The 27,609-nt window shown below is 35.0% G+C and overlaps 2 long non-coding RNA genes across 5 annotated transcripts in view; one reads left to right on the top strand and one right to left on the bottom strand.

The window, feature by feature from the left end:
- The window catches only part of LOC105374557 (uncharacterized), a 485,690-nt gene that overhangs the window by 214,665 nt on the left and 243,416 nt on the right, over positions 1-27,609 (bottom strand). The window lies entirely within an intron of this gene.
- Positions 684-26,031, top strand: LOC107986268 (uncharacterized). Of its 3 annotated transcripts, XR_001741637.3 has the most exons (5): positions 684-814; positions 6,624-7,107; positions 12,045-12,122; positions 17,726-17,835; positions 25,943-26,031. It is a non-coding gene; the product is annotated as an uncharacterized LOC107986268 (long non-coding RNA). The 3 variants fall into 3 exon arrangements; XR_001741638.3 differs by lacking the exon at positions 12,045-12,122; XR_001741636.3 differs by lacking the exons at positions 6,624-7,107; positions 12,045-12,122.

The following is a 27,609-nucleotide window of genomic DNA, read 5'->3' as shown; positions in this document are numbered from 1 at the left end:
TGTCTATATCGAAATATTCTCTCATTATAAGGACATCAGTCATGTAGGATTAGGACTTAACCCTCAGGACCTCATTTTAACTTAATTATCTCTTTATAGACCCTATCTCTAAATACAGTCATATCTGGGGTACTGAGGGTTGGGACTTGTATTAGCCTGTTTTCATACTGCTATAAAGAACTGCCCAAGATTGTGTAATTTAAGAAGGAAAGAAGTTTAACTGACTCAGAGTTCAGTATGGCTGGAGAGGCCTCAGGAAACACACAATCATGGCAGAAGGCAAATGGGTTTTTTGATATATTACTAGGTCCTCGTAAATACAAAACACACAGGACACCAAACGACCATGGAGCTAGATTTGATCATTAAAATCTGGTCCTGATTGACCCATGGTGGTATGCAGAATAGTGCCCCACCCACCCACCCAAAGATGTTCATGCCGTAACTTTGGTACCTGTGAATGTTTTTCCTTATGTAGATAAAGGGATTTCACATATATGGTTTCAATTACAGAACTTGAGATGGGGACACTATCCTAAAATATCGTAGTGGGCCCAATCTAATCATGAGTTCCCAAAAGTGCAGGACCTTTCCAGGCTGTGGCCAGAATGACATATTATGTTGGAACAATGCTCAGTGAGTTGTGACCTCAGTGCACTGAGGATAGAGAAGATGGTCAGGAGCAAAAAAGCATGGGAGGCCTCTAAAGCCAGAAAAGGCAAGAGTACAAATAATCCTTTACAGCCTTCAGATAGAATGCAGCCCTGATGGCAGCTTGATTTTAGCTCTTGTCAGAATTCTGACCTGCTAAAATGTAAGATATCACATTTGTTTTGTTTTATGCTACTGAGTTTGTAGTACTTTGTTATGGCAACAGTGAAAATTAAAGAAAGATTTTCATGTGGGGATGGAGTGCTGCTGTACCAAATACCTAAAATTGTAGAAGTAATTCTGAAATTGGCAGTAAGTAGAGGCTGGGTGAATTTTGAGAAGAAGGACAGAGAAAGCACAGATTACCTTAAATATCCTGTTAGTAGAAACAGGGATGTTAACAATTCTACCAGTGAGTACTCAGGCAGAAGTGAGGAACATGGTAAGGGCAACATAAATCTTCTTAGAGAATACAGTCAGCCCTGCATATCCAAGGGACCCACATCCATAATTCAACCAACACCAGATTTAAAATATTTTTAAAAAGTTAAAAATAACAATATGACAATAAAAATAAAACAAATAGAATAATACAGTATAACAACTATTTACATAGCATTTACATTGTATCAAGTATTATAAGTAGTCTAGAGATTATTACTGTATACAGGAAGATATGCATAGGTTATATGCAAATACTACACCATTTTATGTAGAGTACTTGAGCATTAACAGATTTAAGTATCTGTGTGGGGTCCTGGAACCAATCCCCTGCTATGACTGAGGAACAACACTACCTAAATTTTTGTGAACAAAATATGAGTAAAAGTACAAACATTAAAGTCACTGTTGGTGAGGGCTTAGAGAAAGAAAAAGAGGAACATGCAACTAGAAATTGGAACAAAAAGGATTGTTGTTTCATAATGGCAGAAAGCTTAGTGTAATTGTTTCCTGCAGTCATTTGAAAACCAAAACTTGTAAATGGCAAAAATGAACAGTAAGCTGAGAAAATGTTTGAGGAAAGTGTTGAAGGTTCAGCCTGGTTTCTTTATGCCACTTATAGTAAAATGCAAAAGGAAAGAGATAAATTAAGGGATGAACTGTTTAATTAAAAGAAACACTGCACTCCAGCCTGGGTGGCAGAGCGAGACTCTGTCTCAAGAAAAAAAAAAAAAAGAAAAGAAAGAAAGAAACCAAGGCTGGAAGATTTGGGAAATTATCAGTCTATCCATATTGCAAAATATGCTACATTTCACTATCATGAAATGTGCTTTAGAAGAAAAAGCCAAGGACGTGCCTATAAAACCTCTGCTAATACCTCAGAAAGATTAAAAGTTTAAAGTATTCAGACACACAAAGGCTCTTTAATATGATCCACAATGTGATTATCCCATCCTCTCAATAAAATTACAGAGCATCTAGGGAGTTTAAGGGTGTTGTCCTTCAGCCATTTCAGCAAGAGCCAATAAAGCATATGGAATTATACCACATTGTATGCATGTATCAAACTATCACAAATACCCCTTAAATATGTACAAATGTTATGCATCAATGAACAAACAACAAAAAAATGTGTTATTTAGGCCACTTAGTTTCTGGGGATTTCTTATGACAACAATAGAAAGCTACTATGCTCACCGAGTCATAAGGTTGGATGTGACCGACAATAACCCAACTCATCAAGGCTCATATAGTTTCCTACTTCTTATGGAAGAAGTACACCCACTGGGATTAAGCACAAGCAGGATCAGAGTGCACAAGAAAGCTGCATGAATAGATATCCCTCACTGCTCTGTCACCCACCACTATTCTTCTCAGCTTGCAACCGTAACTGTATAGAAAATCTGTACAGCTAGCTGAAGGAGGAGCTTTGGTTCACATGTGGGTTAGCTTTGTAGGTGGTGTAAGATAAAAAGTGAAATGCGTCTGTACTATGCAAGCACTACAGAGGTTGCCTTTAAGCACAACCATAAGAGAAAATGCTCTCAATGCCTAGAGCTTCAGGCAGTGCACCTGATCTGTCACTATGGGTGAGAAGATGAGTTATTTGATGTTATTATATATAGCTTATGCACCATGGTTAATTTCCTGACCAGCTGGTCAAATGTGAAAGATAAAGGTTGTAAGATCAGAAATAATGAGTTCTAGTGACAGAGGCATGTAAATGGACACATGGCAGTAGACACAAAGTGTGGTGATTTTTATCGGATATTAGTACTCCCCATAGGACATCTTCCATGTTTAGGAAGAGGCCCTAAACAACAAAGTAGCTAAAAAGTCTGGCCTGTTATCTTTAGCCAGTTTTTTACACCAGCCATGGCAAAATTGCCACACGAGTGCATAAACATAGTGGCTGCAGTGGCAGAGACAGAGGCTGCTCATTGGCACAGCATAATAGACTCCTACTTACCAAGCCTAATCTAGCTACTGTCACATTGAAATGTCCAACCTGCCAGCCACAGACGACAAAGTGAGTGCGTAACAGAACATCATTGTTTAAGGAGACCAGCTGGCCACTTGGTTGCAAGTTGATTATATCCCATCTAGAAGCACTAGCTGTTACACACATACTTCAGCTATAATACGATATTATCTTAAAAATGTAATCCTGAAAAAGAATAGTTAAACAAAATGAAGTCTGGAATACATCTCTATAAATTCAATTTACTTAGAGAAAATAATAATACAAGTTTTATGGTAATGTACAAATAAAAATAAATCCATGTTTTCTCGTAAGGGTAAGAGAATGGGAAACAAAACATGGAGAAAAGATACATTAAAAAAAGTTGATCAAGTATCAATGATAGTGTGGCATGAAGAGTGGAGGGTGATTAACTCAACTCTTTGCATATATGGTTCAAATTAGTGTTTAAAAATGGTATGTCTAACTAAAATTTAAAATTAATATTTGATCTTTTATGTATATATTTCTTGTTGGATTAAATTATAGAATAAAAAGGCAAATACATTAATGATTTAAGACATAAAGAACTAGGAAATGTAGCCAGGTGCTGTGGCTTATGTCTGTAATCCCAGCATTTTGAGAGGTGGAGACAGGTGCAGAGGGGAGCCTATTTTTTGTAGAGATGGGTTGTTTTCATGTTGCCTAGGCTGGCTTGAGCTCCTGGGCAACAGGAGCTATCTTAAAAATATACTTCTGAGTAAAAGAATAGTTAAACAAAATAAAGTCTCTACAAAAAAAAAAATGAAGTCTCTACAAAACACCGTCTCTGCAAAACATACAAAAAAATATTAGCCAGGCCTCATGGTGCATGCCTATATTCCTGGAAGGATTCATTGAGCCTCGTAGGTTAGGGCTGCAGTGAGCTGTGATGACGCCACTCACTCCATCTTGGCTGACAGAGAGGTGCTGTCTCAGAAGGAAGGAAGGAAGGAAGGAAGGAAAGAAGGAAAGAAGGAAGGAGGGAAGGAAGGAAAGAAGGAAGGGAAGGGAAAATGATTTTTTTAAAATCAGAAAGCCTAATTTTTATAGCTCTACGTTTATTAATTTATTTCATGAGGTCACATTAAATATCATAACCATATCTGTTCATTAATTTTGAAATCTCACTTATTAAAAGGATAATTATTCATTTAAAGTGGTATTTCCTCAAAGGTTTGTAAAGATTAAATGAATTATTATGTAAAGTACTTAGAAAAGGATAAGCTACGAAAACCATATAGAAGTGTTAGTTATCATTATTAGTGCACTAAAGCACAGTAAATTATAAAATAAATATAAAGTGGACATCTAAAGAAAACAAATGACATGTATTTTATTGCAAAAATATATTTATTCATGTTTTTAGCTTAGAAAAGCATACATAGTTTTTAGTAGTGTATATTTTTGTTATGAAAATAGCTTTCCTGCTTTGTGATAGATATTGCTTAGATTGGATATGTAGTATCTTTCTACTAAGTATTTTTAATATGTATGCTAAATCATCAGCATTAAACCAAGAGTGATTATCTTTCAAAATCGGGCATGTCATCCATACCCCAATTTACAATAACCTTCAACTCCTTGGCTCCCACCCTAAAGGGTTTCCATCCATATGAAAAGATTTGGCCATATAAACCCCAAAGGGTCTCCATCCATATGAGAAGATTTTGCCGTATAATTTGTCATTCACATTAGAGCACTTTTGAGAATCCATAAATATACCTTGAAAAAGACATAGTCCATGACTATTCCAGTTAGAATAGGTCCTACAGTCACAAATATAGGCATAGAGTACACATTCTTTCCTGAGAATGACCCTAAATCTACATTAGTTAGCATCACTTTCTTGTAAACGCTATGCTCTGAGAAACTAGAGCTTGACCCCACTTTGAATCCTTGCCTTTCTCTCCAGTTTTAATGCCACCACATTAATATGGGTGATCACTGCCACAGCCCCTAACTGTTCCTGCTTCTTTCCCCCTTCTTCCCATTGCATTATCCACACAACAGCAAAATCACACAAGTCAAGAGATCCTGTCACTGCCCATTAAACATGCCTCAAAGACTTCATTTGCCTTAAAACAAAATCCAAAACTCTTAATCATGTTTCACAAAGCCTCACATGACCTGGTCCTTGACTATGGCTCCGATGTGACTCTCATTTGGAAGGCATTATTTACCTTTCTTCTTTAAATCCCTTCAACTCACCAGCCTCTTGTCAAACTAAGAATCTATAGGACACCAAAGGGGAAACAGAAGGAAGCGCATAACAAGCATGAGACTTTAATGTGTCTGTCTTGCTCAGGTAGATGAAGAAGGCAATAAATCAGTAAGGCTATAGAGGAACTGAAAAGTGCATGCAATATGGTACTTTTAACTCTGAGTTCCAATACTAAGGAATACAGTTTATTTTCAAAAACTCATACAACATTTATAAAAGCTAACCACACATTAAAACAAGGACAATCTTAACTCAGAATATATACCACTAATTGTACACACATGTTAATTTGGCCACAATGAAATTAAGTCAAAAATTAATAGTAATGTCAAAAAACCAATTGCCTCTTCTACCAGGAAACATAAAACAAACAACCACCACTACAAAATATGATTTAAAAATATATGGGGTCAAAGGTGAAATATACACAGAAATTGAAGAATTGTTATAAATTCACAATGATATCTTGATGTATCAAACTCTATACAACATAACCAAAGCTATGTTCAGAGAAAAGTTCATAGCCTTAACACAGCTATCAATAAATCATAAATGAAATTGACACCTGCTTCCAAAAAGATAAAACTAAAACAATGAAACAACCTAAAATAAAGAACATCAAAAAAATCAATAGAGATATAAGCCAAACTTACTGTGTTAGAAAAAAAGTAACAAAATAAATAAAGTATGCCTTGAAAAACAGCAAAAATACAGGATTAAATAACCTGATTTTTTAAAAAAGAGAAAACACAAATACCAAAACAATAAATGAAGACAATTTATTAAAAATCATTTTTGCAAATGTATTTTGAAACCTGAATCACACTGGTAATTTTACAAAAAAATAAACTGTGTATAAGTAGCATATCAAAAGTAAATGAAGAGGCAGTTTTTAGCACAGTGACAAAGAAGAAATTGACCTTAGTTAAGAAAATTTAAATTACTACTTTCCTTAGAAAATAGAGAGATTACTCAAGGGAAAAAAAAAAAAAGGCCCGTTACAAAAATTTCCCAGATCTATATGAATTCACAGGGGGCTTTTAGAAACAGAGAGTCCTAAATTTATTTTAAACAATATCCAAGAATAGAAAAAAAAAATATTCTCTATTCTGTTTTCAAAAAGAAAAACTTTAAGGAAACTTCTGAAGTAATTTTTAAAAAGAAGGTGAGAAAATGACTTCAAGACCTGAAAAAGATGATACAGTATATTACAATTACAGGCCAATTTCACTTATGAATAGAAATAAAAAATTTAAATACAGAATTATTAAATAGAATTCAATAGCACTTTTTAACTTTGTATTGTAGGAAAAAACTTCTAGGGGAATTGGATGTGAAAAGTGTCCCTGGTCCTATGATCACAAAGATTTGCAGCAAGGTCAAGACACAGAAGTAACAAATGCTTCCAGCTTCAGCAAATGGTGCCCCATCTTCTGCATGGGAATACCCATTATTCCAAGCCTGTTTTCGGGGAAAGTGATAGACAATGGTGGTGCCCAGGGTGCAGGGAACAAAGGGAACTGGACAGATGGAAAATACGCATTGGGGTTATAAAATACAATTCTGCAGAGGTCCTTTTCCTCAGACACAACCTAGAAAATGGCAATGAAAAAGATAAGGAAAATTAAAGAGATGAAATCCAAGATCATTAGAAAGCTGTACATACTGATACAGACACCCAGGAACCTCAAAATCACAGGATACAAAGGGAGAAAAGCAGTAATCGACCAGCTAGGACTCAGCTAAGCAGGACAGCAGAGTAAAATGAGGCTCAAGTGCTAACTTCTGGCAGGTAGATCAGATAATCTGAATTATTGGTATGGTGTATGTGGTATAGGGTGGATTGTGTGATTGATCGATTGTTACCTGTATAATTCTCCTTTTGGTAATTACATTGAGTTTTTTTTTTTAAGTTTTTTTTTTCTCAATACCACCTCTTAAGGTTTTAAAAACTGTTTCATATCTGATTAAGTAAAAATTTTCAATAACTGCATTGGTAAATTGCTAATAAAAATTAAATGTAACTTTAAACAGTCAATAAGCTATAAGTGCCTCTTAATAAAAGTACTGTATAATAGTTTTGAAAAATTCTATGGCTGTCAAATAGATGAATGTTTGATCATGTTTTTTAAAGAAGAAAGTTGAATCAATTGTTCAATGTACCTATAGCCTTGAAATGAGAATGTATTACGTTTTTTCTTTTACTAAAAGGGATCTCCTCACAATAGTTATTATCCCCAAACATCCCTTAGAGTCTTTATGTTTTATTTTATTTTTATTTTTATTTTTGGGACAGAGTTTCGCTCTGTCACCCAGGCTGGAATGCAGTGGTGCGATCTCAGCTCACTGCAACCTCTGCCTCCTGGGTGCAAGCAATCCTCATGCCTCAGCCTCCCGAGTAGCTGGGAATACAGGCGCCTGCCACCACACCCAGCTCATTTTTGTATTTTTAGTAGAGACAGGGTTTCATCATGTTGGCCAGGCTGGTCTTGAACTCCTGACCTCACATGATCTGCCCAAAATGCTGGGATTACAGGCATGAGCCACCACACCCAGCCTCCTTAGGTTCTTTAAAGAGGATGGCATTGATAGTTATGGCAAGTCAACTTTTTTCACCACTTGACTTAGGAAACAACTTTATATATCATCAAGAAACCTGATTTGTTGAAATGTACAGGCTCCTTCTCATCTTAGAATCATTGGATTACCTTGTTATTCATAGTTCTCCCTTAATTGTAGAAATCTTATGCTCTCTTAATACCACCAGTGGAATCATGAAGGCATCTAAAGGTAAATGGCTACACATCCTGTGCTTGCTCACCTATTCTGCATTACTTGTCTGCAGTAGGGAACCTAGGAGAGTAGTATCTGAGCATATTTCCTGAGCACTTAAATGCTTATTTTGAGGGTTTTCTTCCTCTCTGAACCCTGGAAATAATGTATGGATAACTTCCATTGTTGTCATGAACACTTCCGTTCCTTGTTTCCTTTCAATAGAGGTCTTTCTTATACTGAAATTCCTTTGTGCTTTGGGAAGTTGTTCACTTTCTTTAACCCATAATCACCATATTCTAGTGTGCTTTGGTCTTAGTCAATTCTTGGCATGTTGACAATTTTTATATAAAATATCACCATCTAGAATCCAATTTATTTTCAACATATATAACTGTGATTATTATGGATTGGTGAATAAGAGATTATAAGAAATTGTTTAATCTGTAGTTGATTACAAATTATCAATCCATCTCAAATAAGCATAACTTTCTTATGAAATTCAAAAAGAAAATCAGAGGATAAAGCATATTTTTATAACTGGCATGTTAATCATTTTATTATCAAAATATAAATATTTACTGTGTTTGCAAACTTTGCCACTGTATATAAACCAGTCCACACACATGAAATTTACTTTTTATGAATGTATGTGTATTTTATGTATGTACATTTATCTTAATAAATATATAAAGCCACATTTGCAGCCTTATTATAAATAAATTTGGAAGATAAAGTCTGTAAGAATAGTCATTAAAATTATCATGTTAAAGTCCTGCTTTCATCGAATTTCATGATATAAGATATATAACTCAAATAGATTAGATTTATAAATTACTATTTCTAAAATTTTTAAACAAACGCAAATTAACTATGTGGAAAATTATGAACACACAGACACACACACACATACATATGCACACATACACACATACTTGGGAAAATCACATCTCTCCCACTATAAAAAAAAACTGTCTTTTTTACAGGTAGATTTCTACATTTAAGAATCGATGGAAATTTTGTTCTCCCCTCCTGACAGGCTTTTAAGATCATAACACATGGTAATTTTTTATGTCAACAGTAAAACTGCAAAGAAAATAAGAAGCAAAAAAAGATGAAAGAGTTTCTTCTTAGGCCAAGTATTTCTACCTGTCTGAGAGGAAAGTTGATAAATCATATAATTAGGTGGTGTTTATGCCTTATTAATTAGATGTTAAACAAAGTCTCAGTTTATATTTTCATCCTACACAAATCTGGAAGAACAGGACAGTTTGATATCATAATATACTAACAATATCAAAAATATTAAACTATACCAATAGAATAAAGCAACTAATACACCTCAAACTATTCAAATTCTTCTAAATTTCTTTTCTTAGAATTTGTTTTCTTTTTTTTTTTAAGTAGGAAACCATGTGAAACAACATGTCCTTAATGAAGTGTGTGTCTAAAACCATTCAGTTTCTGTTTCTAAGCATGATAGAGCAACAGAGACCAGACTTGTCTTAAAGCTTTAAAAAAAAGTAGACAAATTTATTACACAAAAAAATTACAGATAGATTGCAAAAGCAATGCAGGACTGTGTTCTCTGAGTGTTGGGAGGTGGTAATTAAGCAAAGTCCTAAAATTACTTCTGCTTGTGGATCACTGATAAACAGTTTTCAGAATGCTGTACGGTGGGGGAAACTCAAACCAAGCCTGGGGTTCTCTCTGGATTAAGGAGACAGATATCTGAGATTAGGGAGAGTAAGCCAGTCAGTATTTTTGAAGCAGAGTACTAGAGAACAGGGCAGTGAACAGAAACTCTAGAGAACTGCAGGGGACGCTGTTGAGTGCTCAGAGAAGGCCTGAAGAAGCAACACTTGGGCATAAATCTAAATGTGAAGAAAGCAGGATTCTTAAGATCAAAGAAAGAACATTTGAAGTGTATGGATGAACAAGAGTGAAAATCTAACAGAAAAATCTGGAATATCTGAGGTTAAAAAATTACGAAAGTATCATAGGCAGTAAAGAAAAGATTGGTAAGAAATGGATCAAGTAAGCAGGGTACAGATGTTGCAGGACTTTCAGGCTTGGTTATAGTTTTCAATTTTGTTACAAATGTCTTGATCAACTATTGAAGGAGACTGACGTCATCTACTCTGTACTTGAGAATAATCACACTGACTGTCCAATAGTGGATGCATTGCAGTAGCGCAAGAGTAATGACTGTGAGATGAGTTAGAGTTTTAGGTAGTCCTGATGAGGTCTTATGATGGTGGTTGTAGAGAAGCTGAAGAAAAGTAGTAATCATCGGACCATGTTTTGGCAGTAAAGTCAAAATGTTTACTGATGGTATATGAAGAAAAGGGAGGAATTTAAAATAATTCCTGGATTTTTGTCTGATTCAAAAGAATAGATTTTGTTGACATACAGTAAGATGAGAAAGGCTTTCAGATAGCTAAGATTTATCACCAATTAGAAGGTGTCTAAATTAGGAGTAGCAATCTAGGAGATATCAGTATGTAGTTGGTGATTAGATGCACAGAAAAGAGCAAGTTCATATAGAAAGAGAATAGAAAGTGAAAACAGAAGACTGTCAAAGTAAGACCCCTGGAATACTCTAATATTTTTAAAGGAAGTCTGCAAATAAGGCTGAGAAAGATAGACAGTGAGATCAAGGGGAATTTTAGAAAACGGTATTTCCCCAAAACAAAAAATACATAGTAAATACTAATAAGAAAGAGGATCAAGTCTATCACAACTAAAGCTACTGAATGGTAGAGTAAAAGAAAAAGAGAAATTAATCAACACTCTTTGATCACCTTAATTAATAGCAATACAGTGGGGTTGTAGAGACAAACATACAACCAGAATAAAATGAGAAAAGCATAGCCATGAACAAGCAGAAAATACAAAAGAATGAGTTTAGACTAGTATGTCCGAAAAAGGTGGAAAGCATGGAATAAACTTATCTTTAAATGTTAGTTACATTTTCCAATAATTTCCAATATTTTAACTTGTTAATTACTTTATTTCTTATAATATTGTTTTTAGCTTCCAGACACCTTTTAAATTGTGGCACCTCTAAATTTAAAACCAACATTTCAGTTGTTTATTCAAAAAGAATGTAATAGATATACTATATGTCTACTCTTTAGAGATTTTGGGGGCTTTTTGTAGCATATCTACTTTCAGATACCTTGCATTTTGAGAAGTTACTCTGTAAAGCAGACAAGAAACTTTTGGATCGGGCAGCATTTGGATCAGATATGGAAATGAAAGAAGTTTCTTCGTGATTTTTTTTTACATCATTTTTATTTTTTATCCCCGAGTGGATAAAATAACTGCACTTGAATTCATTCCTTAAGGATACAGATAGTAATATAGAGAAAAAAGAATTATATTGCCAGAACTTAATTCGAAAGGCAAGAGTAAAAGGAAAAAGGGGTATTGGTAGTGAGGGAGGGCTTAGCTCTTAAAGGAAACAGGGAAGTATCCTCCACTTTAACATGAAGAAAATATATGGTCACAAATTTAGCTAGGTTGATAAAACTGATGGTGGGTTAATGAGATACTTCTCTCAATATGGCATCAATATTCTTATGACTTTTATGTTGGAGTCACCATATGAGAGGGAGTGGAAGTAAGTAAGGATTTGACTCAGGAAATTATGAGTATGCTACCTGACACAGAGTATGATGGTTAATATTGAATGTCATCTTGATTGGATTGAAGGATGCAAAGTATTGTTTCTGGGTGTGTCTGTAAGGGTATTGCCAAAGGAGATTAACATTTGAGTCAGTGGACTGGGAAAGGCAGATCAACCCTCAATATGAGTGGGCACCATCCAATCAGCTACCAGCATGGGTAGAATAAAGCAGGCAGAAGAGGTGGAGAGATTAGACTGGCTTAGCCTCCCAGCCAACATCTTACTCCCGTGCTTGATGTTTCCTGACCTCGAACATCGAACTCCAGGTTCTTAGGCTTTGGGACTCCGACTGGCTTCCTTGTTCCTCAGCTTGCAGATGGACTATTGAGGGACCTTGTGATCATGTGAGTTAATACTATTTAATAAACTCCCCTTTATATATACATCTATTCCATTAATTCTATCCCTCCAGAGAACCCTGACTAATACAGGGAGGAATTGGTTTATGTATAGGGAAGAATGGTAGTATTGACTGGCATTATTGAGTTTGTATTTTATATTCCTGACCACTAATTAGAAAGGAATTCAGTCATCACTCTTGCATAGTTTTTTTTTTTCCTACAATATTCAAACATACAGATCCAGGAAAGTGATACAAAGGTAACTTAGTAAAGCCATAATTGGAATTTTTTTAAGGCAAGTAATTTGGAAAACAAAGGTAAACGAGTTAAGGGAACTCAACAAGAACATTAAGTTGTTGAAACATTGAAGTTACATGTAGAAGAAGGAAAGTGATTAGTAGACTAAAACATAATTAATATGAACAAGAAAATAAAATAACTTTTGATAAGTCAGATAATTCTTGGTTAAGACAAAATGCAGCATATGAACTGATAGATGGAGATGGTGAATAGGGAGTGGGATGTTTGAAAATGGGTTTAGATTTTTGTGATAACAAATTCTGGTGCCAGACTATGGAAATGGTGGCTGAGGTAAAATTAAAAATACAAAAAAAAGAAGAAAAGAAAAAAAAATCACTGTTGGAGCTAAAGAGTATATGAACAGGGGGATCAGAGTTTTGGGTGTATCTAACATTTACCTGGATACTGAAACAGCCAACAAAGAATAGGCAGACAAGTGAGGAGGAAGACAATGAGTCAAGTGATGAAAAAAATGGGAGGAGTGGGCTGGGCGTCAGTAGTAACTGCAACTAGGAAGAAGTGGGAAAGTCTGACTGCATATATATCATAGAGCTTGAGCTTCTGAGGAAGTACAAAGAAGAGTTTGATCAGCATCAGCACACAAGGAGTACATTGACCTTGCATAAGTGGAGAGTGGCAGAAAAAAACATCTCGCACTTGTAAGGTCTTTGGGGCAAATCAGTGTTAACAGGAGCCAACCAGGTTTCACAGAGCAAGAAGATAAAGGAAACCTGCAGAGAAAACAGTGTATTGATCACCGCATAAATGCTGCTATCTCGAGGTTGAAATATTTACGTAGGGCCATATATTTGACAAGTAATCTCAATGCTTATTAAATATACTTTATTAAATCCACACTAATCTTTTTCATTCAAATAAAGGTTCCTCACTATTGATTACAAATAATTACTTACATAAATAACTAAATAAACTAATTGTTTCCTGAATTACCTAGTCAGTTGAGATAATTTCCAAAAGGAGTTGTTATAAAACAAGTTGGTGGTTAGTACAAGTCTCATTGTAACATAACCAGAATGAATTTTGTACTGGATGTTTCTTTCATACATGAAAGTAAAATCTAGGCAAGAGAACCAGAATGCTATAACCATACAAGCCATCATATAAGAAAGCACATCTATTCAGTGTAGAAAACTCATAATGGGAATACTTTAAATCTGCCCATTTCCAAGCCAACATTCCACTCTGCCCTCAGGAGCCCAGTTTGTTATCAGCAGGCTATCCTCTGTAAGTTTATTTCATGTGCTTCCTTTGAATGAAAGTCATTTTTTACTCACCTTCTCCAGTTTTTCTCTTCCCATCATCTATTAAGCCCTCTCTAGGACACTGAAGAAATGCTTATTGCCAAACCCGGTTTTCAATTCTCTTCCACATCCAACTATATAGCTCTTCATTGAGAGATCAGTTGGCAAAGATGAACACTCCATTCGTAAAATGCTTTCTTTGCTTGGCCTCCAGTATATCACCCTCTTTTTAATTCTACATCTAGATCTGTGGCTGTTATTCCTTAATCTCTTTTACCAATTCTTCCTCATCTTTATGAACTTAAATGTTGGACTTCCTTCCACTGTTTACTTTCTAAGTCATTTTGTCTAATCTCTAGTATTACATACCCTAATATTCATATTCCTGTATCCAATAGATTCTTACAAAATAAATAAATTTTGCCCATCTTATTGCCTTCCGCATCTTAGTGAATAGTAATTCATTTTTTCTAGTTTCTCAGGCAATAAATCTTTATTATACACCTTGTATCCAATCTACCAATAACTTTTTATTGGACATATCTACATATTACATACAGAATCCTACCATAATATTCTCTAATGTTCAGTTTCTAGCCATTGTTACTTCTAACTATTAAAATAATAGTGACATAAAATGGTGTCCTCAAGAATTTGTTGTCCCTTTATACAACCTTACTTTCAATACAAGGCTTATCACTAAGTCTTGTATCTTACATCTTAGTATCTTACCTCTTACATCTTAGTAACTTGTATCTTACAACTTAGTATTTTACATCTTAGTATCTTACCTTATCTTACATCTTAGTAACTTATATCTTAGTATCTTGCCTTATCTTGATAAGTATCTTGTATTTCAGCAGAGGTCTGAGGGAAGTAAAGAAGCAAGCCATGACTATCTTGACTATATAACCATCCCGTTTTCTGTTGTGGTTGTTGTTACTCAGGAGTAAATTATGAGAGCATGGTTTCAAAGGACATTTTGTGAAAAGGTGGTATGTCTCAGAATGATCCATAGCCAAGGTTCTTATCCCTGGTAAGGATATTCCTTCCTTACTTACTTAGTCATTACTTACTAACCTACTTAGTCACTATTCCCTGAATATGGTATATATTGCATCATCATAATCATGGGTTTTGGAGAATTTCATGCAATGAGTTAGTAAATGCAAAAACATGTACAGTTCTTGATTCATATTAGCTAAATTGAGTGTTGCCATAAGAGCTGTTCTATTTTCATTAAAGCAAATATTTACATGTATTTTTTGTGAATATAATTGTATTTTAAAGAATGAACAACTGGAATTCAGGATCAGAATTTATAAGATACATTCATCAAAGCTGTCATTGCATTTGATGCTGCCTCACAGCAGGACAAGCAAGTTGAAGAACTACATTGAATTTCTATTGAGTTATTGCTATCATTATATGGTTATCCCCAGGATGACACAATTCCATTATAGCAGCCTTTGTATGACTTGTGTATTCAGTTAATGTAACCTCATAAATTTATTAAATGCCAAAATGAGGGCTCTTGTTTTTCCAGTGTGTTTATCAAACAATGAGTTCATATTGTTGGCTCTAAAAACCTTGCTTTAAAGTAATTAAAAGCAGTACTTATGTCACCCAAGGGCAATTGCTGCTTATTTATTTATTGTTTTATAATTTACCTTCATTAGTTCAGAGTGACGGGGCTAACTATAGAACAAGTGTCAGGTTATTAGGATGTTATGACTACTGACCATTTGAACTCACATATTCAGTGAAGTGCAAATTTCAACATTTAAATAGTATACCCATTTAAAAGTTATTAAGAGAAGTTGTGTAGACCACAAACAAAAGAAAAGCACACAACTAAATTTGGTCAAACTTATTTTATGCTTATTTTGTTTTTTTTTTTCAATTATATATTCTGTGGGTACATGGGCAGCCTTGTTACCTGGATAAACTATGAAACGATAAAGTTTGGACTTCCAGTGAACACATCAAACAAAATATGAACATTATACCAAATAGGTCATTTTTCAACACTCACTCTATGCTCACTCTCCGCTGTTTTGGAATCCCCATGTCTATCATTGCCACCTTTATGCCTTTGTGTACCCATTGTTTATTTCCCACATATAAGTGAGAATATACAATATGTAATTTTTTTGCTTTTGAGTTATTTCACTTAGAATAATGGCCTCCAGCTCAATATATGTTGCTGTAAAAGACATAATTTCATTCTTTTTTATGGCTGCATAGTATTCTAGGGTGTATATACTATACCACACTTTATCCAATTATTTGTTGATGGATAATTAGATTGATTCCATGTTTTTACTATTGTGAATAGTGTCACAATAAATATATGAGTGTAGGTGTATTTTTTATATAATAATTCATTTCCCTTGGGTAGATCCTCAATAGTGGGATTGCTAGGTTGAATGCTGGCTCTATTTTTAGTTCTTCGAGAAACCTCCATGTTGTTTTTCATAGAGTTTGCACTAATCTACATTTCCAACAACAGTGGATAAGTATTTTCTTTCATCTGCATTCTCATCAACATCTGTTGTCTATTGACTATTAAATAAAAGTCATTCTGACTTGTAGAAAATGGTATCTCATTGTGCTTTAATTTGGATTTCTCTAACGTTTTGTGATACTGAGCCTTTTTTAATATGTTTGTTTTGTTGGCTGGCCACTGTATGTCTTTTGAGAAATGTCTGTTCATGTCCTTTGCCCACATTTTAATGGGATTATTTGTTTTTACCTTGTAGAGTTATTTGAGTTGCTTATGGATTCTGAATATTAGTCCTTTGTTGTATGCATGGTTTGCAAACACTTTCTCCCATTCTGTAGGTTGTCTCTTTATACTACTGATTAGTTATTTTGTTCTGCAGGAGCTTTTTAGTTTAATTAAGTCCCATTTGTCCATTTTTGTCTTTGTTGTATTTTCTTTTGAAATCAGTCATAAATTCTTTGCTTAGGTCAATGTTCAGAAGAGTTTCCCTAGGTTTCCTCCAGGATTTTTATTGTTTTAGGCCTTACATTTTGTAAGTCTTTAATTCATTTTGAGTTAATTTTTGTATATAATGACAGATAGGAGTCCGCTTCATTCTTCTCCACTCTCACTACCCCTATTAACATAGTCCTGGAAGTCCTAGCCAGAGAAACTAGGCAAGAGACAAAAATAAAACACATCCAAATTGAAAAAAAGAAAGCAAATTATCTCTCTTTGCTGATGACATGATCTTATATCTAGAAAACCTTAAAGATTCCTCTGAAAGATTACTAGACTTGATCAATGACTTCAGTAAGGTTTCAGGATATAATACCAGTGAACAAAAATGTAGTAGAGTTGCTCTAAACCAATAGCATTCAAGCTGAGATCCAAACCAAGAACTCAATCTCATTTATAATGGCCACAAAAATGAATAATTAAATAAATAAAAATACCTGGGAATACATTTAACTAAAAATATGAAAGATCTCTGTAAAAGAACTACAATGCACTGATGAAATAAATAATAATAACACAAATAAATGGAGAAATATCCCAGACTCATGGATTGGAAAATCAATATCATTAAAATGTCCATATTGTTCAAAGCAATCTACCCATTCAATGCAATTCTTATCAAATTACCAACATCAGTTTTCACAGAATTAGGAGTAACCATCCACAAATTCTTATGGAGCCAAAAAAAAAGAAGCCCAAAAGCCAAATTAATTCTAAGCAAAAAGAACAAAGCTGGAGGCATTGCATTAGTTGACGTATCACATTACCATTTTTTTTGCAAGCACAGATCAAGTCTATAGTAACCAAAACAGCATGGTTTGAGAACAAAAATAGATACATAGATAAATGGAACAGAATAGAGACCCCAGAAATAAAGCCGTATCTCTACAGCCAACTGATCTGTGGGAAAGCTGACAAAAATAAAAACAGTGCGGAAAGGACACCCTATACAATATATGGTGTTGTGAAAATTGAATAGTCATATGCATAAGAATGAAGCTGGACCCCTGTCTCTCACCATATTTTTTAATATCTTTTAGGGAAAAAAACAAACCAACCAACAAACTGAGCCTGAAACTGATAACACAGATACGTACAGCATCATATTTAAGTAACCAATCGGAATTATTGCAGTGGAGATGTTTTATTGGTAAGAGTAACTAACCCTTTATTCAGAGTCATCTGATACTATGTCTATATATGCATAAAACCTAATCAAAAAGTCATCTATGAATGTGTACCTGTATCTCTGTGTGTCTATATCTTGGAAAATTAATGTCTTGTTCTGAAATTTTAGCTTTGGCAATCACTTAATAAAGGTCCATCTGAAAGTTAAAATAAATGGACACTCCCTAACTAACTTCAGGAAATTAGAGATACATTTAGATGTATATATTGTATTGCAAACCAGATATTAATTTTCAAAAAGTTTATACACAGATATGTGTGAATATAAAAATACTAAAATACTGACTATTGATACTTCGTCTTATCTAAATATTAACTGAAGAGAACCGTTATTTTGTTCTCTTATGAACTAAGTACCTGTAAACTCTGTAATTAGAGAGTTTCTAGGTATTCAATAAAAATATACAAAATATAATTTCCAGGTAGATTATAGCATTATATTAACAAAGTAATAAGTGAACTAGGTACCAAAACTAAGTAAATTATGTACTAGGTACTATGGTAAATTTATTACATGTGTTATTGATATATAATTGCTACATAATTGATGAAATTAAGTTAAGTCCCATAATTTGGAGATGATTTAACTGAATGAGCAATAAAATAACTCCTCCATTTCACACAGCTTTTAATTGTCAGAGCTGAGAAATGAATGACACATTTTGGCTCTAGATCCAAATGTCTTCACTGCTATATTTTGTTGTGCCTCTAGAGACATATAGACAAAATATTTCTCTAAAAGTTTGTTACAGATTCCATGATAACTATGTAAAAGGACCGGTATTAAAAAGTGGACAAAGCAAGGCAAGAAGTCAAATCTACTCTCTTAACTTGAATGAAGCAAGTCAAGAGAGTTTATGTAGGATACCACCCAGTTGCTGGGTCTTGAAAAATTAGTCAGTGTCCATGAGATAGGTGAATCAGCTGGTCAAGAAGCAATACCTAAATAAAGGATTCAGTTTTAAAATATTCTAGCATTATGAAAGAATGTCAGGAAGTTCAGTAAGGCTAGAGGATATGATGCAATTAAGGTGGAGGAGGAAAAAGGAGGAGAAAGAAGTCTGAGAAAAGGCAAAATGTTAAACTATTCTTACACTTTCAAATATAACACATATACAAGATAATTCTAGGAGAAACCCCAATAAACCCAAAATAGATTTATTTTAATACAAAAAGCAATTAACATAATTTTTGAGGAGTTTTTAATGCTTATTTTGGGGCTAAAAGTGTATGTAAACTTTAAATGATGAGGTGATGTAAAGAAAACTATCAAATGTATAATAATGCTCAAGTATGGCACACAAAATTTGGAAAAACATTGGGAAATTAAATTTATGTACAAAATAAGGAGCTTAACCTTTATCTGAAGAATAGTTAAGAGCAGTTGAAAGATTAAAAACATTTTTGTGTTAGAGTTTTTATCTTGGAAATATTCGCTTAGCCTGAGTCTAAGGAAAATTTGGTTCCTAGTAAAGTGTTGGAAGGTAGGCAAAAGATACTGCTGAGGATGGCTGGGCACGGTGGCTGACGCCTGTAATCCCAGCACTTTGGGAGGCTGAGGCAGGTGGATCATGAGGTCAGGAGTTCAAGACCAGCCTGGCCAAGATGGTGAAACCTCATCTCTACTAAAAATACAAAAAAAAAATTAGCCAGGTGCGGTGGCAGGTGCCTGTAATCCCAGCTACTTGGGAGGCTGAAGCAGGAGAATCACTTGAACTCAGAGGGCAGAGGTTGCAATGAGCCGAGATCGTGCCACTGCACTCTAGCCTGGGTGACAGAGTGAGAAAAAAAAAAAAAAGATACTTCTGAGGATGACCCAGGTGATTCTGACTTGGGAAAAGTGGCGGCTACTGGTACCACCCAATGAAATGCAGAACAACAGTTGTTTTGTTTTGTTATGTTGTATTTTGAATTTGACGGGAGCACGTTAAAGATTTCCAACTTAGACATATTCAGGTTGAACGCTGAAGTGCAGATGACAATACAATGGGCACTGAGGGTCACTAAGTGCTTTGATAGAGAAAGTGACTTTCATCACCAGAACAGTTGTACTCATAAGCAAAGCACATGTTGAAATGGTATAAATGCATTTTGTACTATGAGACTTCAAAAATCTTGTGATCAGACAACGGTTCAAGGCACTTGGATCTAAATATATAGGACACCCACTAAAAATAAACTCTTGCTTTCTTTACTGAACCCATTTGATCAGAATTTGTAGGTTGTGGGGCTTAGGACTTTGTATTTTTAACAAGTTTCTTACATAATTTATAAGCATAGCCTAATTTGAAAACAATTACTCTTAAATGAATTTAATCCTTCCGTCGATGCCTGCATTCCACACACCCTGCTACCATTCTAGGTGGTTAAAATAATATACAAAACATAAACCAGAGTAAGAGAAGGGGTGCTTTTTGCTCAATTTCAATAATCACAATAGAAGAGTCCAGGTTCAGAAAGATAACATTCATAATTAAAACAAATCAGATGTAACAGTTGGGTCCACATGTCTCTTAAACTAAAGGGGGCAGCTGGTATTACACGCCAGGTGATTGTCCTCTTGCTAGCGTGTGGCTGCAGTGTCATACATTTGTATGTGTTTTAGATGTTTAGTTGGCAACCAAATTTAGAACAAACACAATATATCTATGGGCTGGTTTCAACTCGTTCATCTTTTTGAAGCTCTTCTCAAATTTATCCTCATCCATTGTTTTTTATGGAACAAGGAAGAATTTCAAATGATGGTATCCCTTAATTTTCCACCCCACTACTGACATAATTCATTTGTAAATGGATATAAATATATGAAATGCACAATTATGCTTCTAAGGGTTGATGTATAGTAGGTCACCAATCGCTCGGACACTTGTCATTAATAATGGACATTACTACTTTTTCTCTAAATAGCTGTCTCTGATCAAGGATCTAGACTATAGCACTGCTTAATATATGATAGTTACCCCAAGTCTTGACATTCTAAAACTATCACATTTTATGCTGGCAATGTATCTCCTTGCTCAGTAAAGGAAAAACATCCAACCCCTTTAGTCCTCTAGCTTTGTCTTTCAGTGAAACAAAAGTTAGTTTCTTTAAACAATGACTCTGTGAGTTATTAATAATCATAATAGCGTCTGCTAAATGGATATATTCCATTTGGCAGAAACTTACATAGTTTCAGACAGCAACTTTGGGCTTCTATGCTAAATACATTCAGTCTTTTCTTTCAAATTTTATTCTCTATACTCCTCTACCTTACTCCTCTTCCCAGAAAAATGACCACTGTGTTGCTATATCACGTGGCTCTCTGGTCTTCTGGCCAAAGGAGAACAGCAGGAGATGAAGAAGTGAAGTGTAAGAGTGAGATGGGAATTTACTTTCCTAGCATCCTCCCTGAAGGCTTCTCCACCCCTCCCTGAATCAAAACTCCCTCCAGCGTGGCTGTTTCTTCATTACTGCTACTCAAAAGTGTGATGCAAGGACCAGTGCTGGTGAGAAAGCATCTGGAAACATTAATTGTAATTCTACAGAAAAATTTTAGGTCTACTGGGTTTAAATTTTAAAAGCAGACCTGGCATTTTGTCTTTTTAAATTTTAATTTTTCAGTAATTTATTTTGATTTTATTTTACAATAGTATCTGTTTGCATAGGACTACAAAGTAAACAAAACAAAACTAGCACACACAAAAAATGGATTCTTCCTCATAGATAAAGTTGCCAGACTGAAAAACTAAAAGTAAATAAACCAGTTAATTTTGAATTTCAGAACAACTATTATATAGTATCCAAATATTATATGGATTTTCTTTGGCAACGCCAAACAACCCCTTCTCGAACAGATGGTTCGAGAAGTGCTGCTCTGCATGATCCTGTCTTCTCAGGTTCTAACATGCACTTGTAAGCTTTGCCCTTTTGGAGGTAGGGTTGGTAACAGCTCTAATGTCAAGAGCAGGGGCTTGCATGATTCCTGTGGTTTTCCAACATTATGCTCATACCTTTTTCAAAAGTTCCTTTACTAAAAACTCTCCTTTGATGAACCTAATTTCAGTATGCCATCTGTTCCTTGCTGGGACATAAACTGATACATCTTCCATGCTGAATTCTTTCAGTTATTTCTAAATCCTAGTGTGCAATGCACTTCCCAGTCTTCTCGCTAGATTCTTGCTCCTCAGAATTGCCACATTGTATATACCAACATGTTAACAAAAGGAATAGAAACAGCCACTGGATGCCTAATTTGGGGAAGACAAGAGCCATTAAGCTGCCAATCAACATTATCCAGATGTCTGCATCCGGTTACCTCATTCTTCAAATCCTTTTCTCCCTCTGGATAACCACTTTCAATATGTAGTTTACTTGCTCTCAGATTCTTGTCACAACCTTTTCTTAATTACCCTAATTCACATCCTGCAACTTTGCAATGGAGAAAATGAATAAACTTGCTGTGAACTAATAGTGACTGAGTATGACACTGAGCACTCCTGTTTTCCAATTTTACTTTTGTGCCCCATATGGGAACAGATCCAAGACTCTCCCAAACAGCAATGGTTTATCTCACCTTCACAAAGAATTCCAGAACTCTTGGATTGACAATTCTTTGTTCAACTCTTTTCAGGCAACTAACTCAATCACAGGAAACTCTTATTTTAGATAGTGTCTTAGGTTGAGCCGAAATCTGCTTCCTTGTAACTCTGAACTATTACTTCTAGTCCTGCTCTCTGTAGTAAAAATATGTGTGTTCTCTTCTATACTAGACATTTATTCATTCTATCGACATTTACTGTGTGGCTAAAAAAAATATGTCATTGTATTAGACCTCTAATTATAATATGCTGCAATGCAATGACTTTCTTTGTGACTGATTATACACACACACACACACACACACACACACACACACACTATTTGTATGTTTTATAAAAACCATGTAAACTTTTAAGATATAATTGTATCTATATGCAACTTAATCCTGCCTTACAGTACTAGTACTAAATTACATAGAGCCTCTAAAACTATTCTGTAAGCAAGCAAATAATTATTTTCTATTTGTGAGAAAAATAATGTTCCCAAAATTAAAAGGAAAAAAATACATGCATTTGGAGTGAAATCCAAGTCTACCACTTATTAGCAGTGTGATCCTGAGCAAGCCATTTAATTATTTTACAACTGGTGGATATAACACTTTACTATTATTAGCAGAAAGACTCATTTTCATTTTTGCCAGCCATGTGATGCTACACCCATTTTTTTTTAATCTATTCTGCTCAACTTTTCTTCTTTTTTGTATGTAATGTTGGACTCAGTTTGCTAATCTGTTGTTTAGAATTTTTGCATTTGTTTTTACTCAAAATTAACCCACAACTTCCTTTCTTTCATTGTCTTTGCCTCATTTTGGTATGAAAATGGACAAAACAGAAACAAAAGCAAAGCACACACACACACATTGATCAAAATGGTCTTATCCTTTCCCCCAGCTTGACTAAAGTTTGAACCGTTTTTCTTTGACTATAGACCTCTAGCCTCCATTTTCTTAGAGTATTTACTTTAGAAATCTTGTACATTCGTTCTCAGCTCCTTTGAGATGTAGTCTTTTTCCAGTTTTACAGCCAGGGATGTTTTTCTTAAGGACCTGAGAGCTATCTTTTCGAAGTGTCATCATATGTCATCATAGAAGGAGATAGTGTCCTTGTCTCCCAGTCTTTGTGGGAAGATAGGAGCCCAAATTTGCTAAGTACCAATGAGCAAACACAGACAGTCTACTCACATTGACCAGCCTTCCCACTAATATTCTCAAACACTTCTCCACTAGCTTCTTTTTTTTTCTTAACTTTTCTTTGACAATATATACACATGTTCCCCTTTCACCTCTTCTTTTCTCTCTGCCCCTTAAGCCCTTTGTAAAGCTCATTTTTTTTGTTTTTTTTGAGATGTAGTGGCACCCACCACTATGCCCAGCTAAGTTTTTGTATTTTTAGTAGTGACGGGGTTTCACATGTTGGCCAGGCTGGTCTTGAACTCCTGACCTCGTGATTCACCCACCGCAGCCTCCCAAAGTGCTGGGATTACAGGCGTGAGCCAACGTGCCCGGCCTAAAACTCACTTTCTTATTATATAAAATGAGTCGAAGAAGGAAAGGCATGTGTCCTATTTACCATCTTTACCTAGAAATATTCCTCTGTTAGATGTATTCAATTTCCAAAAATATTTTTCCAGGGCTTTTATTTCCTTGTAGTGAGAGGAGCATTGATATTAGCTGGGTGCACAATGTTTCCTGATATCAACTATTCTTTTAGGAAAGAAGATTGTGAGTTATGCTTCTCGATATAAGTTTCATGAACAACATTTCTTTGTCTTTTATTTCTTTATACCAAGCAACTGGCTCATGGCCAAGTACTTATTAGGAACAATGTACATGCCAAATGATTTAATTAATTTACAAGTTTGCTTTATGTTCTATTATCCATGATGACCTTTCACAATTACTCTATACAGAATTTCTAATGGAACTTGGTCCTAGGCTGTGATGGATCTGTCCTTCTCATACAGTAACCCCAAGCTTGATGGTGTATTTCATGAGAGCAGTTACATTGGCTACATTTTACATATTGTTTAACTGGTAAAGTGAATCTTAATTTTATCTGATTTCAGGAGCAACCTAGAGGCAGTCTATCTGTGTTCAAGGAAGCATAGGGCTGTGTAAGTCCCAATTTGGGCAGATAACTTGAAAGACATAAAATTATTTTAATACTTTTTAAATATTTAAAATAACTTTACTCATACATCTCCACTACATTCCACTGTTTTTTCCCTATGTCAATTCCTCATAGGTTGTTGAACATTAAGATTGCTGAGGAAACGTGGGGAGATATTTTTATAGAAACATTTTAAAAAATAAGTAATCATATAATTTTAAAAATTAACCTATGAGGAGAGGTCAGTGTCCACAGGAACTCCAAACCATTCCAACAGAAATTCTCATTTTTGTAATACCTTCTCTCCAAGCCATTATCCACCAAGATATTACAGTAGTCTTACAAGCTATAAATGAATTAGAGTCACTCTTCTGCTTAAAATACTCCAGTGCCTCCCTTTGTTCAACAAATAACATGAAAACTTCCTTACACATCCTTGGAGTTCTACCTGTGTTTTTGGTGCCTGGCTCAGATGCTGGTCCACATTAAGGGTTTCAATCCATATCTGTCAGTTATGTGGAGGAAATTACGACCCTCTCACTGACTTAGCTTCTCCCCTTGCATTGCACTAAAAAATATGCATTTTGAATTGCATTTCTTGCTAATATTTTCAATGGATATGTGATGTTTAAAGAGTTGAAGGTAACTTACTGAATGAGACCACATGATTCTTGATTTGGAGGATGAAAACAATGATAGCCTATATAAACATTTTTATGGTATCAAAATGCTGCACATGGCTGATATTGTTTTCAGAGTCTGCAGACTAAGTTCAGTTAGAGGAGAAACTTTTTCATGTTGATAATTTGGGAACATTCTTCTAATGGAGAGAATTGTGTTACTGATATTGCCTCTTTTTATGTTTAAAGGACTAAAGACAAGTCCTACTTTTATCAGACTCAGAAAGAAGTGACACCCTACTAAATATTTTAAAAAGGTGTCTAACACCTTAGAAAGGGTTTGAATGAATTCTTCGTGGAAATAGCATCCACAGGGAAGGGAAGAAATACATTAAACTTTAGCTTTATTGTAGTTGATTGTAAGAGTGCATATGAGACTATGAATATCATTTAATATACCTTATAGTATCATACATTTTAATACATTTAAATAAAATATTCTGAAATTCTGTTCTAGGGAAGTATGACACTTCTCTGACAATAAAACTGGCTAATTTTTACCCAAGCCCTGACTATTTTTTCTTTAGCAACAATTTAAATGGCTTTTAGAAACTCACTCAAGGAGTCATACATTATTCTACCCATGATAAACAAAAATGTGTGCTGATCTCCAAGTCTCACTTTACTTCATTGCTAAGCTCCTTACCAACTAGATTTTACACTGCTATATTTGTCTACATTCCTCTGTCTTTTAATTTAGGTGGGAAATACGGTATCACACCATTTCAGACATCAGGAGATAATTATCCCTGTCTTCTCGGAACCAGCTTCTTCAAAGGAGTCAGGAATTATTTATGATAGAAACTACTGAAACAATACTAAGGAGTTCATAGGTTGCTGAGAAGGTAGCTTCCTGCCCTCTGCTTGAGGAACACGGATGGAAGAAAGGAGAAGATCTGGTCAACACAGCTCCTGAAATGCTGATTAAGCATTATGGGATTTAAGGTTTCCTGGCCAAGTCTGAGCTAAAATGTTAACACTCCTGAAGAACACCATAAAGAAAGAAAAACAAAAACAAAAAAATTCTCTCGTTTCTTTGCTTCTCAGTCAATCTTCACACTAGGGTGAGGGATATAGGGGTCGTTCTTATGCTAAGAAAAAGAAACACTGCATGGTACAGATCATATTTTCTTCACTAAATTCAACTTTACTTAGCAAAATATTCAAGTGTCTTAGCTGATTCAGATGGGATAATTTATAAACAGCATAAATATATTGCTCACAGTTCTTGAGGGTAGGAAGTCCAAAATGAAGGTGCTGGCAGATTTGCTGTTTGGTGTGGCTCTCTGCTTCAGAGATGGCATTTTCTATGCGTTCGCACATGGCAGAAGAAGCAAGGAAGCGCCCTTCAACTTCTTTTACAAGGGCGCTAATCCCATTCATGAAGGCAAGTTAGTTTTAACTTATGAATTTGGGCAGGGAGGGGGGATACCAATATTCATATCATAGCACCATGTAAAGGAAAAAGTAAAGATTCTAGTTATGGTACCTATGTATAAAAGCCATTGTGTAAGATTCAACAGGGCCATTATCATGGCTGTGTTTTTTACTACTAATATGGAATCTCACAAACCCAAGTGCAAAGTAGAATGAGATTGCTATGTTAGACTTCCTTTTGTTCTTTATACCTCTTGTCCTTAAATTTTGGTGCACATGTTGATCACATAAGCAGGTTTCAGACATCTGAATGTACAGGTTTTATTAATTTAGATTAATGTCTCTAAGAACAAGTACCAGAACTCATGATTTTTTAAACCTCACCATATAATTCTAATGTACAGCCAAAGTTGATAAACATTGATATATTAGTTTGTTTTTTGTTGCTTATAATGGAACATCTGAATCTGGGTAATTGATAAGAAACAAAATTTATTTCTCACAGTTCTGGAAGGTGGAAAGTCCAAGGTCAAGGGATTGCATGTAGTGAGAGGCTTCTTGCCTGTGGGAACTGTCTGAAGAGTACCTGGTGGTGCAGTTGCTCATATAACAGAGATGATCTTGGCATATCCCTGGAAAAAACATTATCTCATGGTACATGTGTTTCCTCTCCTCCTACAACTTTGGCCAAATAGAATCTATTCTTCCTTCCCTTGCCATCAGAAACTTGATGTTTGCGGGGAGCATGGAGGGATAATCTCACTCAAACTTTAATTTGTATGTTGGTATTCTCTCATTTCTTCCCTGTCTACAAGTATGGATATGTGATTGGATATAACCCAAGAAATAACCTATCCCATAAGTATTGTGAAGGTGCAGAGAGATGCATATAACCCAGTGTGGGGAAACGAGAGTCTATTCCAGGAGTTTTGTTCAAACTTGAAGGACAAAGAACTTCCTTCATGCTGGGCTTGACACTGCAAAATGTAA

This window comes from Homo sapiens, chromosome 4 (genome assembly GCF_000001405.40).
Source record: "Homo sapiens chromosome 4, GRCh38.p14 Primary Assembly".
Lineage (NCBI taxonomy): Eukaryota > Metazoa > Chordata > Mammalia > Primates > Hominidae > Homo > Homo sapiens.
Note: the sequence above shows the minus strand (reverse complement) of the source record. Positions and strands in the feature narration are given on the sequence as shown.